Genomic DNA, 13,810 nt, shown 5'->3' on the forward strand with positions numbered 1-13,810 from the left:
TCATCTCTGGTTCTTCTCCTTCATTCTCTGTATCCAAATGTTATTGCTTCTTCCTCCAAAGGCCATCTAGGCTTTGCATTTCCTTTCCATTGCACACCCTAATCCAGGAGCTCATCGACTGACCCCTGAGCTGTTCAAAGAACCCACTAAGGGGGATCTACCTCCACATTGCCCCCCTAGTCCACCCTAACGGGGGATCTACCTCCACACTGCCCCCCTAGTCCATCCCAAGGGACTTTCAGACCATTAGACAAAGGGATGAAAGACAGGAGCCCATGGTCATAGGTTCACGCATTCACACGTTCATTCATTCATTGCCATCTACAACCCACTTACACAGCCAGTGGCAACCTAGTGCTGATCCCCTCGGGTTCACCCCATGATTGTGCTCTCCTCTGCCCATGCACATCTGATCCAGGCTTTGCCCTTGCTAACCTCCACTCCTCCAAGAATCTTCCTCTTGCCACACTAAGGAGTGAAAAGAGCATCCGCTTAAAGTCAGATAGACACAGGTTGAAACACCAGCTATGTGTCTTGGGCAAGTTACTTCTCTAACTTTTAGTTTTCTCAACTGTAAAATGAGCACACCAACACCTATATAGCAGAGCTGTTGAGAGAGTTTGAGCTGAGAGTGTGTGAAACCACAGGGGACAGCACTAAGTCCACAGGAAGCACTCAACACATCATTTCCCCCCTCCTTGCCTAGGCTGATCTCTCTCCTCTGAACTCCTGTTGCCTTTGGTTAGTGCACAGTCAGGTGCCTGCTGTTTCTAATGGTATCATGGGTATTAGCATCTTCTTCCCAGTTTGATTCGAAGGTCCTTGAGGGCAAAAATGGCATTCTATACTTTATTATGACCCCCTAACACTTAGCACATAGCGTGCAAAGCTCTTTTGCATATAGTAACTCAGTTAATTCCTACAATAACCCTATGAGTTAGACCAAGCAGTGTTATGATTCCTAGCTGGCCCTTGATGAAGCAGGTTCTCACCTGTCCACAGTCCCAGGGCCAGCAGAAGGAGCAGGACCTAGGTCTCCAGGCTCTGTTATAGAAAGCTTTGAAGGTGACCAGCCAAAGGAAGCCAATCCTTCTTCCCCAAGAACTGCCCACCCTACTTCATTCCTCTCTACCAGTATTCCCACACTGCTGGGCCATGGCAGCCATGAGTGTACCACATGGCCCTGTCCCACTGGCCACAGTTGATTGGCTGGCTCGGGAGTAGTCACCTGATTCAAGCTGGGCCAATCAGATCCTACCTCCAAGGGGTTTGGAATTAGAAAACAGTGACCCTAGCTAGTATAGGCCACTTGAACTGAGGGCCCATACATTCAGGAGCCTTATGGGGCCATGTACACATGGAAGCAGGAAGAATGAAGGAGGGAGAAGTAGAGGCCAGAAACCACCTGGGTTCCTGTTTCCCAATGCTAAGTCCCTGCCATGTTCCTGCTCTTCCTGTGGTTTGGATCTTCAAAGGTTGCTCAAATTTGGGGCAGTGGCCTGGCAGCTTTTCAAATCCTTCCCATTTTTATTGAAGCTGAAAGACCCTTGACTAGGACAGACTCGGTCCCAAGCAGAGAGCTAGATCTTCTATACCAGTTGTTCTCAAACAGTGTGGCCCAGGAATCCTGGGGGATCCCTGAGTGTCCTTTCAGGGACTCTGCAGTGTCTGAACTATTTTCATAGGAGTCCTAAAACGTGATCTGCCTTGTTCACTCTCACGCTCTCACAGGCATCCAGTGGAGTCTTCCAGAGGCGACATGACACGTGACGATGCTGTCACTGTGTGTGTATTCTCTAGTTTAAAATTTGTTTTATTTTTCTTGTAAATCTTTTTTACTGGGCTACCTCTTAAACCACAATAGGTTCAGAGAGACAACCTTTTTAATTTCTAAAATGGCAAATATCATTAGTGGTATGAATATTACTGGTTATAACCTGAATAACAGCCTTTGGGGGCTCTCAGTGTAAGGAATTCCTGAGATCAAAAAAATTGAGAACCACTGCTCTACACCCTTGCTATTTTTTTTTTTTTTGAGACGGAGTCACTCTGTCATGCAGGCTGGAGTGCAGTGGCTCAATCTCGGCTCACTGCAACCTCCGCCTCCGCCTCCCGGGTTCAAGTGATTCTCCGCCTCAGCCCCCTGAGTAGCTGGGATTACAGGTGCATGCCGGCATGCCCAGCTAATTTTTCATATTTTTAGTAGAGACGGGGTTTCACACTGTTAGCCAGGATGGTCTCAATCTCCTGACCTCGTGATCCACCCGCCTTGGCCTCCCAAAGTGCTGGGATTACAGGTGTGAGCCACCGTGCCAGGCCTTTTTTTTTTTTTTTTTTGAGATGGGGTCTCACTCTGTCACTAGGGCTGGAGTGCAGTAGCACAATCACAGCTCAATGAAGCCTTAACCACTCAGGCTCCAGTGATCCTCCCACCTCAGCCTCCCAAGTAGCTGTAACCAGAGGTGCACACCGCTCTGCCTGGCTAATTTTTTCAGAGATGAGTTCTCACCATGTTGCCCGCAGGCTGGTCTCAAACTCCTGGGCTCAAACCATCCTCCCACCTCGGCTTCCCAAAGTGCTGGGATTACAGTTGTGAGCCACCGCACCCAGCCTACACCCTTGCTATTTAAAGTGTGGTCCTGACACCAGCAGCTCCAGCATCACTTGGGAGCTTATTAAAAAGGCAGGAGCTCAGCCCCCACCCCATGGACTTACTGCATCAGAATTTGTATTTTAACAAAATCCTCAGGTGCTCCATATGCACATAAAGTTTGAGAGGCACCTGAACACCACAGTACATAAATAAATACTTCATGATTGATTGATAATTGATTAATTGGTAATACTCACATGGATGACTCACAAGAATCTCATGAATTTTAAAGAGCTTTGACTTCTTGGGCTGAAGTTACCAAAGACACAATTATTAATTGTTGGGCTCCCCTCACCACTCAGAGAATACCCATTATCAAAATTCCAAGAGTTATTCCCTTTGCTTGCCCCCTCCTGATAATATCTAGGCAGTATGAAGCACTCAAAACTTACTGATGAAGAAACTGAGGCCCAGGGTACTTATACAATTTGCCCACCATCACAGAGGTTACATAATTCATCCAACGTGTAGTAAGTGGTAGAGCTGGAATTTGAACTTGCAAGGTCTAAGTTCAAATAAAGCAGAGCCTATTCTGTAATCCCTACCTTAGCCCTGGCCTCCTCAGTGAGCACACAAAGCACCTGGGGGCTTGTCAAAGTGCAGACTCTAATTCTCATTAATCTAGTGTGGAGTCTGGGCTTCTGCATTCCTAATGAGCTCCCAGATGATATTAATGCCACCATCCAGAGACCACACACAGAGGTGTCAAGACTTAGACTGCCTCTAGGTTCTGACAAGACAAATGGGCATAGTTGTTCTCCAGTGCCAGCAGCAGCTGGAATATACCACTTTAAATGGTGGGCAATGAGCTGGGTATGGTGGCTCATGCCTGTAATCCCAGCACTTTGGGAGACCCGGACAAGAGGATCGCTTGAGGCCAGGAGTTCCAGATCAGCCTGAGCAACAGAGTGAGGCCCCCATCTCTAAAACATAATAATTATAAAAAATAAAGCATGGGCAAAACAGCTGAACTGAGGCTGTGAGTGCAGCAGCTTCACACACCCCAGCACAGGAGGCTTGCCCACAGCCTTCTGGGTCCTTCCATGGCTCCGTGCATGGGTAACATGTCCACAGTATCACTGTACAACATGGAACCATTCAGCTGCTGCTTGGCCAGTATCTGGTGGGCCCAGAGCCAGTCTAGGCTCCATCCAGCCCCCTCACTGTGTTCAGGTGTCTCTCATCTCCCCTACAGCTGAAATACGACTTTTCTTTCTCTTTTCCATCATTCAATCATTCATTCGACAAGCTAATCATTGGCTATATGCTGGGCCCTGGGCCAGGCATGAACTCAGAGGAGAAAGCACAGACCTGTGTTCAAATCTTAGCCTCTTCCTTACTAGGCTGAGTGACCTTGAACAAATTGCTTAACCCCCCTGGGAGCAATAGTACCAGCTTGTGGAAATGAAAGAAGTTCTGACCAATAGAAATACAATGTGAGCCACACTCATCATTTTAAAATTTCCAGCAGCACATTTTTTTTAAAAAAATAGATAGGTGCAATTAATTTTAATAATATATTTTATTTAACAATATATCCAAAATATGATAGTTTTATAATTTAATATAAAAATTAAGAATGAGATGTTCTGCATTCCTTTTTCATACTAAGTCTTCAAAATTTCATATTTATTTTATATTTACAGCACATTTCCATTAGGACTAGACACATTTTGAGGACTCAGTAGCCACATGTGGCCAGCAGCTGCCATAATGCACAGTGCAGAAATAGAGATAGGAGTCTAAAGCACCTGGCACAAAGGCATCACTCTCTATGTGGTAGCTCTTGTTATACAGAGCCCATCACATTGCCTGGTTTACAGGAAGTACACAGTAAATATACATGGTTGCACTGACTGCTGATGTTTTCACAGACACCCAATTCATATCCACTGACTGCAAGCTCAATCTTCTAAATGTAGGTTGGGGAGAGGTGTGAAGAGGACCATTTCCCACACTTGCATCAGTTTGGTTGGGGTGAGAGAAGGAAAGCAAGTGGGTCTGGACATGCACAGCTCTTTGGGAGTTCACCAAAGGCCCAGGAAGTCCAAGCTCAAAAGTCTCCTTTAATAATGGAATTCAATTTTCTTTTTAATACCCTCCCCTCCGTGAATGGGTCTAGGCCAGTTTATCAATGGCTGCAAAAATCATTAAGTAAAAACTTGATGAGGAACTGTATAAGGGAGAGATCAGGCTGACAACACTCAAATCTACTGATCAATTAAAACACCACCCAAAGCAGAACTGGACAGGGTATGCCCCTGATGTGATACGAGAAGAACCTATCACCACCTAGGAAGGATTCTTACCTCCCCACAAGAAATGTTTGTACACACATACACAAACACACACACACACAAGCACACACCTTGAATCTAAGCAAGTTTCTAATCAAACTACCAGTTTTCAGGAAACACAGAGGATGGAGAAAGACATTAAATACCACCCTCCCACCACTTCTAGAATGTGAGAAGTTCCACAAGACAAACAACCCAAATTCTTCAACAAATTAATGGCATGGAGAAAAAAAAATGTGTGTGGTGGGGTGCAATACAGAAGAGAATACAGAAGAGGTATGCTGTGGAATCCGGGAGACTTCAGTTTCAAACAAACCAACTATAAAATGGCATTTTTTGACAAAAGGGGAAATGATAAGGGACTAGATAGTAGGTATTATAACTATTATTTTATTGGATATGATAATGATATCTGTTAAAGACACACACTGAGATATGTGTCAGTTAAATGATAAGATGTCTAGAACTTGTTTTCAAATACTCCAGAAAAAAAATCAAACAAACACAAATCAACAAAAAGTAGGAGAAAAGAAGAGACGAGCCAAGATAGCCAAAATCTTGCTAAGTGATGAGGCTGGTCCCAGCTGTACCAGAAGTGCACCATCAGAGAGCTGCCCGCCCAGCCCCTGCACAGGCTGCACAGCCCCACATGCGACAGGCTGGAGCATCTCAGCTCAGTGTGTGCCGCGCTGGCCGATGTGCAGCGGCCGCCTGGGAACTTGCTTCTAATATAGTATAAAGCCCTGCCCCAGAGCTCCTAAAGCAGAATTTCTGAGTGGGGTCCTGGGAATCTGCATTCAATAAGCTCTCTCAGTGATCCTAATGTCTGCTGAGGCATGAGAACCACAAGAGTGGAGAGCCCTGCCATGGTTATCATTGGCAGCAAACCCACAGAATGCCTGGGACTAAGTGCTTATCCGTGGGAGGGGTAAGAGTCCCGCCTAGAGCCTGAAGGGGTGAGATTCTCAAGCCTGAGAGTCCATTTTCCAGGTGGACAGCAGCAGTTTACTTCTGGAGGTCCCTCTCCACCTGGTTATTGTCACATGCCCTTGCAGACCCCAGACGGCCACCACAGAAAGCCCCTTCGGGCGTGAACTCTAGATTCAACCTGAATGCCTGGAAGTGCCTGACCAGTCTCTTGTTTTTATTCCTTCCACCTGGGTTTTTTCCCCTCTGCCCTTCCCCAGGCTCTGGCTTTTTCCTTGTCCCATCCGAGGACCCCTGGGATGGTCTCAAGCCTCCAGAGCTCATGCCAAACCCACTGGGAGCCACCAGCTGCAGCCCCCTGCTACCCCGGCAAACTTCTTTTTTTTTTTATAGTCATGATTATGGTTTATTTATTTTTTTTATTATACTTTAAGTTTTAGGGTACATGTGCACAATGTACGGGTTAGTTACATATGCATACATGTGCCATGTTGGTGTGCTGCACCTATTAACTCGTAATTTAATATTAGGTATATCTCCTAATGCTATCCCTCCCCCCAGCCCCTATCTCACAACAGGCCCCAGTGTGTGATGTTCCCCTTCCTGTGACCATGTACCCCAAAAGCAGGTACCCTGACTCTGTCATTCTGGCACAGCACCAGGGACAAGGCAGGAAATGTCCAGCCTTCTTTAGTAACCAAGCAGTGGTGACAACAGGCACATTCTCCTTATCTTCCACCCTCACCCTGATCCCACCCTTCAGCCCTCCCCAGACCTCACCACCCACTCAGGGTACCCCCTCTGCCTCCTCTCCTCCCTCTTGCCAGCTCTGAACTCTTCCAGGCTACGACCTGGGATCAGAGCTCTTCTGGAGTTTTCTCCTTTGAGCGTTCTCCATGTAAGACCATGGCCATGATTTCCATCTAGCTGCAGTGGAGATCAATCGTTGGCCGGGCACCCCAGCCTCCCTCATCTCTTTCCTCGCTCATGTCATCCCCAACTTACCCGTCCTCTAGTCCTGTTCTTTCGCTTGGGAATATCCTCTTCCAAATCCTCTTCTTCATTCCCTTCTTCTACATTTTCATCATTTTCCAAAACCCTCTGAAATGAAAAAAAAAAATAGAAAAGGTGAGAAACGAAATGCAAAGGGAAAAACCATCAGAGAGTAATTTTAAGGGTGTTCTGATTTGTTGTTATTTTTTAACAAAGTGAAGACGCTGCCTTTGCTTGGGCAGTTGGGCCCTCTGAAATGCTGTCTGGAGTTTGAACTCTTGGCACTACCGAGGCTCTCCTAAGCCCTTGGGCCCCTTCCAGACAAGTCCTCCCAGAACACTGACCTTTTTCCATTCTTTTTGCCCAAGAAGAGTTTTCTAACAAGAGACTATGCTGGTAGGGGCCCTTTTCTATGTGGGGCCAAAATGTTTACTTTTGTAAATGTAATGTTTCTTTTTGCTCCCAAAGGGCCACCTCAGAAATATGAAAATGTTTCTCCTTTCCCTGCCATTCTGGAACCCTGCCCTGTCTGATGAAAGCAAGTAACTTCCTGTTCATCTGACCAGATTTAACACGAATGTGCTGTTCATAATAAGCCACTGCTTTTTTTTCTTTTTTTTTTTTTTAAGAAAAATAGACTTTCATTTAGTACCCGACTTGTCATGGAGCTTAAAGATAATGAATTTTAAATTATCTCTCTCCAGCAGCCCGCCAGTCACATTGCAACATAGAATCCAATTTCCATTTTGCAGGTGAATACGCTGAGGCTGAAAACAGTTTTGAGTGCTCCAGATCATCCAGTGAAGCCATGACCAAAGCAAGGTCAGGTTCATCGGCTCAGGGTTCCCCATTCATTTCTCAGCACAGTGGCTGAGAATTCCAGATGTAATCTGGCATACTCTCCATGTAGGGGCCTAAGCACGTCACTCCCTTTAGAGGAAGGAAGGAGGTAGGATGTGTTCCTCTGGGCTTAAGGGAGGGATAAAAGACTGTAGCAGAGGACCCAGCCCCACAATGGGAGTAGGAAAAGAGGGAAGGGGCATGGAGCTCACTGGGCTCCATGTCAGGGGGCCCAGAGGGGTTTTTGTTTGTTTTTTTTTTTTTCTGAGACAGGGACTCACTTTATTGCCCAGGCTGGAGTGCAGTGGCACAATCACGGCTCAATGCAGCCTCAACCTCCCAGGCCTAAGCGATCCTCCCACCTCAGCCTGCCAAGTAGCTGGGACTGCAGGCACATGCCACCATGCCTGGCTAATTTATTTTTTGTAGAGATGGGGGTCTCACTATGTTGCCCGGGCTGACCTCGAACACCTGGTCTCAAGTGATCCTCCCACCCCAGCCTCCCAAAGTGCTAGGATTACAGGCATACCATGCAGATGAGCTACCACACCTGGCCACCTGGGGGTTTCTTTATGGGCTCACTGTGTGATCTAGGGCAAGTCATCATCTCTTCATCCTTCAGTTTCCCCAATTATACAATAGGAATTCATTCATTCCATCTACAAACATTTATCTAGTGCTGACTACGTGGCAGGCTCCATGCTAGGCAAGCTGCAAAATGGCTACAGTCCCAGCCCCAAATGGACTTTCCAGTCTAGGAAAGGGAGAACAGATTTAAACAATGTGCATATGTCACCATATAATTACAACTCTTCTCAAAACAGTGGTAGGCAAGTTCAAAGTGCTATGAGAGGGTGTTAGGAGGGAGTTTTCCCTAATCCAAGGGCCAGGGGAGGCCTACATGAGAACATGAGCTGAGAAGTTGAGATGTGGAGGATGAGCAAAGACTGGCCTTGTGAATGAGGACAGAGGGGAGGGAGGGAAAAGGTTCTAGGCAGAGGAAACAGCATAAGCAAACTCCCTGAGGCAGGGAGAGGAACACGGCTTGTCCAAGGAGCAGAAAGGCCAGTGTGACCAGTGCTTAGTGGCTCAAGGAGAGATGGCATAAGATGGAGCTAGTAAGGGGAACAAGTACCATACTACACAGGGTAACCCCATCTCCTCTTCCTTGTGGTGATGGGTCAAAGATCACAAATATGTTGAGAAGGCTGAGACAGTGGCACACACTGCACTGTTGTCTGATAACCATCGCTGTTTAAGCCGCCTCCTGGATGACACCTCTGGCCTGTCCTCAAAGCAGGAAGCCCGGGGTGAGCCACCAGGCAGTGATCTTCCACCACTGCCCCTGGCTAGAATGTTCTGCTCTAAATCACAGGGATCAGGACACTTCTAGTCACCCAATCCATCCAAAGAACTCAAAACAGGTCTAGTAAATTCTTCTTTGCCTTTTCTACTAGGTTTATTTGGGAATCCACCAGCTGACAGCACTTAAAGGGTCTCTGAGCCAGCCTTAACCATCTAACAGAGAAGAAGCATTGTCTGCTGGACATGACCTCTGGCCCATAACTAGGAAACGTCAGCCCCCATTCACAGTATAAGTCTCTTGAGTTCCTGACCTGTAGGTGGGAACACTAGCAAAAGCCGACTGAGACAGTGACAGGTCAAATGCTCTGCAGCCTTTGGGGCAAAGACATAGTATAAATATAAGGTCTGGTTATGACTGTTGTTGCTGTTCGTAGAACCATCTTGCAAACTTTCCAGGTCTTGAAGTCACTTAATCATGGTAAGTTCCAAGTGCCTCGAATTTAAAGGTCATAGCCTCTGGCATCTCAGTACAACTCCGACTCTCATTTTTCATTATAAGGGTATTTATTACCCGCAATATGGACTCTGGGTTGGAAGGTGAAAGACTGGTAGAGGCAGCTGAGCTAGTCCCCAGAGTGTCACATGGCCTCCATATCTGGGAGTAAACTGACTTCTCTTCTCCCTGAGGCTCCATCCTCCCTCTGCCCATCAGCTTCCCTGTGACTCTAAAGCCTCTGTCTATGCCCTGGGCCTCAGATGTGATGGCGGCAGACCCAGTGTGTCTGCATTTCCTGCGATGCGGCCCTGACACCAGAAGCCTCTCGACATAATTCAGGAGGAGCCAGGAGTTTCTAACAAACAAAGCTTGTTTCAGACCTCAGGAAGCGGAGGGGGAGTCCTGCATCAGGAGTCGCCGACGGGGGTGGGGTGTCCAACTACAAAGTCAGCTGACCCCCCAGTAACAGACATGCATTCCTTGTCCAAGGACATTATCTGGAAAATAAACACATTTTAAAATAACTTTTCTCCCTGTTACTCTAAACAGTCTTTATGGTGATAACAGCGGTTTGTGGTTGTGTTTAAAAAAAAAAAATCCTTTTTAAAGACTACATTATCTCTGGCCTGGAATACTGCAAAAATCTCCTGATTTCCCTCCTTCCATTGCTGGCCCCACATCCAATCTCCTCTCCATGCAGCAGGCAACAGGATCTTTATGAAATACAAATTCACGGCCCTGATCAAAATCTTCCAAATGGCTTCCTTCTTTATATCACATGGAACCAAAAGCCACTTCCCTGTCCTGTGGGAACTAGGTGGTCTGGTCTCGGCCCACCTGTCAAACTCCTGGGCTCTTTTTTCCCTGGCACAATACTCCGGCCACACAGGTCTTCTGTTCTCTCAACAAAACCAGCTCTGACCTGTCTTGGGGCCATCACACCCACTGCTCCTCTGCCCAGAAAGCTCTTCCCCAGGACCATCACTTTCCTGACTCTTCTCATCCCATAGGGTTGAGGTTAAATCCCTCAACTCGACCAGATGCGGTGGCTCACGCCTGTAATCCCAGCACTTTGGGAGGCCGAGGCAGGCGGATCACGAGGTTAGGAGTTCGAGACGAGCCTGGCCAATGTGGTGAAACCCCGTTTCTACTAAAAACACAAAAAATAGTTGGGCGTGGTGGTGGGCACCTGTAATCCCAGCTACTCAGAAGGCTGAGGCAGGAGAATCGTTTGAACCTGGGAGGTGGAGGCTGCAGTCAGCTGAGATTGTACCATTGCACTCCAGCCTGGGTGACGAGGCGAGACTCCATCTCAAAAAAAAAAAAAAAATCCCTCATCTTCCTCAGGAACTCTACTCTGATGCTGAATCTTCATACTGTTTGTTCTCATGGATTTTATCCTAAAATGCACTTATTTTATTTGTATTCCTTGTTTCCTGCCTGTGTGTCACATTCGAATATGAGTAGAGAGGATAGGTATCTCTTGGTCTCTGTGTCCCTAGCACCCAGCACAGTGCCTGCACAGAGGAAGCCCTCATGAAACTTTGGTCAAATGAATGAATGAATGAAAAAGCATAATCCATTCGCTACATGTGTATTTTAATAATGCAAAGTCAATAAAAACACGTAAACTCATTTGACTTATGGTCCTGGCTTTGTCTTCTAGCACAGTAGACAGCAGACCCATGCGCTGCACTCAGCAGACCTTCAGTTTACATAGGAGATGATGGTGACATGATGACGACAATACAGCACCAGCCCAGTGCTGCATGAGAAGAACTCAAGCCCACCACCAGCTTTAAAGGGAAAGGGACCCACATACCCAGAGCATCAAGGCTCTGGGCAGTGGCTCTGCCCCATGCATTGATTCTGTCAAATTACATGAACTAAGCAAAAAAATACTCTAGCAAGTAACACAGAGATGACAGACCTTGACTTCAAAATCTGAAAGTCACATACACACACACAAGGAAGAAAGCAGTAGGTGGCTTAAACACCAAAGGCAAGAAGAGATCCCTCTGGCTGGAGGGGAGATCAAGAAAGGCTTGATGGGGAAGGTGGCACTGGGGTTGAGTCTAAAAGATGAGTGAGATTTGTACACATGGAGATGGAAGAAAAGGCATGCCAGATAAAGGGCACAGCGGGACCAATGGCATGGAGGGAAGAAGGCTGAAGAACAGAGCGGCGAAAGGAGTAGTGGAAAATAAGCCTGAAAACTAGGTTAGGAATGGAGAGGACACGCCCAGGAAGGTCACGCTCATCCTTTTCGATTTATTTAGTGGGAAACAACAGTTTTTTAGCAGAGTTTTGCTCTAGAACAAAAGGACAGCTAGCAAAGTAGGACATGTCAGAGACGGGAAGAACTGGGGACAGGGCGATTCCTGGAATCTGTTCCCTCATGTGTCCATTCAACAAATATTTATGTTGCACCTGGTAAGCACCAAGCACTGTTTGGGTGCTTATGAGATATAAGCAAGCAAAACTGGCAACGGATCCTGCCCTCGAGGAGTTTACATTCTACTGGAAGAAAACAGACAATAAACAATAACATAATAAGTAAGTAAATTAGAAAGTACATTAGATGATGATAAGAGTGATGGAAAAGAACAAGAAAAGCAGAGTGGAATCGGGAGGCAGGGGCAGTCAGGGCAAGGGTGTGAGATGAAGTACGGCACGGTCAGGGACATCTTTGAGAGAAGAGGAAGGCCAGGCACCGTGGCTCATGCCTGTAATCCCAGCACTTTGGGAGGCCGAAGTGGGTAGATCACCTGCAGTCAGGAGTTCGAGACCAGCCTGGCAAACATGGTGAATCCGCGTCTCTACTAAAAATACAAAAATCAGCCAGAGGTGGTGGTGCGCAACTATAATCCCAGCTACTCAGGAGGCTGAGACAGGAGAATCACTTGAACCCAGTAGGCAGAGGTTGCAGCGAGCCGAGATTGCACCACTTCACTCCAGCCTGGGCGACACAGCGAGACTCTGTCTCAAAAATAAATAAATTCATAAATAATAAAAAATAAAAATTAAAAAATGAAGAAGGTGAGGGTGAGAGACAAGTGTACATCCGGGGAAATGGCCAGGGCAAAGGCCTGAGGTCTGGGACAGGCCTGGCATGTTCTGGGAGGAACAGAAGGAGATTCTTGTGCCTGGAGTGGAGTGGGTGAGGAAAAGAGGAAGAGTGGAGTCAGAGAGGGGTGAGAAGGCCCTGAATTTCACTCTCAGATAGCAGGGGCGGTAGCGGGTTCTGAGCACAGAAATGATAAGAATAGACTTAAATTTTAAAAAGCTCCCTCTCCTGTGGTGTATCTAGACAACAGAATATTATTCAGCATTAAAAAGAAATGAGCTATCTGGCCATGAAAAGACATGAAGGAACCTTAAATGAATGTTACTAAATCAGAGAAGCCAATCTGAAAAGGCAACATACTGTGAGTCCAAGTATATGACATCCTGGAAGAGGCAAAACTATGGAGACGGGGAAACGGCCAGTGGTTGCCAGGCATTAGGACGGAGGGAGGGATGAACAGGTGGAGCTCAGAGGATTTTTAGGGCAGTGAAACTTCTGTATGATACCGTAAGAGTGGACAGATGCCATTACACATTTGTTCAAACCCATTGAATGCACAACGCCAAGAGTGAACCGTCATGCAGACTTTGAACATTGGGTGATAATGATGAGTCAGTGCAGCTCATCTATTATAGCAAATGCACCACTCTAGTGGAGGATGTTGATCATGGGGGAGGCTATACCAGGGGTACACAGGAAATCTCTGTACCATCCTCTTCATTTTGCTGTGAACCTAAAACTGCTGTTAAAAAATATTTTTTTTTAAAGACTGCCCCTCAAGCACTATCAGGGAGACCACTGAGAAGACAACCGCAGCAGTTCACACAAAAGATGAGAGCAGCTTGGGCCAGGGTAGCAGTGGTGGGTGCGGGGAGAGGGGATGCGGGAGAACTGGGCTTATGTTGAAGGCACAGTCGACAAGGCTCCTGATGAGCAGGATGTCAGGTGTGAGAGACAAGCAGGAGTCAAATATGACCCCAAGGTCCCTTAGACAAATAAAGGTGACAGTTAATGAGGATCTTCACTAGGGCTGCAGCTCGTGGAAAAGAGAGGAGGGAACAAACACAAGCCATGTTGTGGCAACTCAATGGAAAAGATTTGACAATTCATCTTAACACGGGAATGGCGGAGAAGAAGGCCAAATTCTGTGATTCATTCAATGCCTTTATCGAGACTCAACTCTACCCAGCTTGGGAAAGGCCCCGGGGACACTGGTGAGCATGACCGCATTG

General features: G+C 46.8%; 1 protein-coding gene across 4 annotated transcripts in view; it reads right to left on the reverse strand.

Moving 5' to 3' along the window:
* Positions 1-13,810, reverse strand: part of DPF3 (double PHD fingers 3) — a 285,068-nt gene that overhangs the window by 107,717 nt on the left and 163,541 nt on the right. For all 4 annotated transcript variants that reach the window (NM_001280542.3, NM_012074.5, NM_001280543.2 and 1 more), the window contains one exon: positions 6,883-6,978. In NM_001280542.3, the coding sequence (NP_001267471.1) occupies positions 6,883-6,978 (96 nt within the window). The remainder of the gene's footprint in view (positions 1-6,882; positions 6,979-13,810) is intronic.

Source organism: Homo sapiens, chromosome 14, assembly GCF_000001405.40.
Source record: "Homo sapiens chromosome 14, GRCh38.p14 Primary Assembly".
NCBI classification, from domain to species: Eukaryota; Metazoa; Chordata; class Mammalia; order Primates; family Hominidae; genus Homo; species Homo sapiens.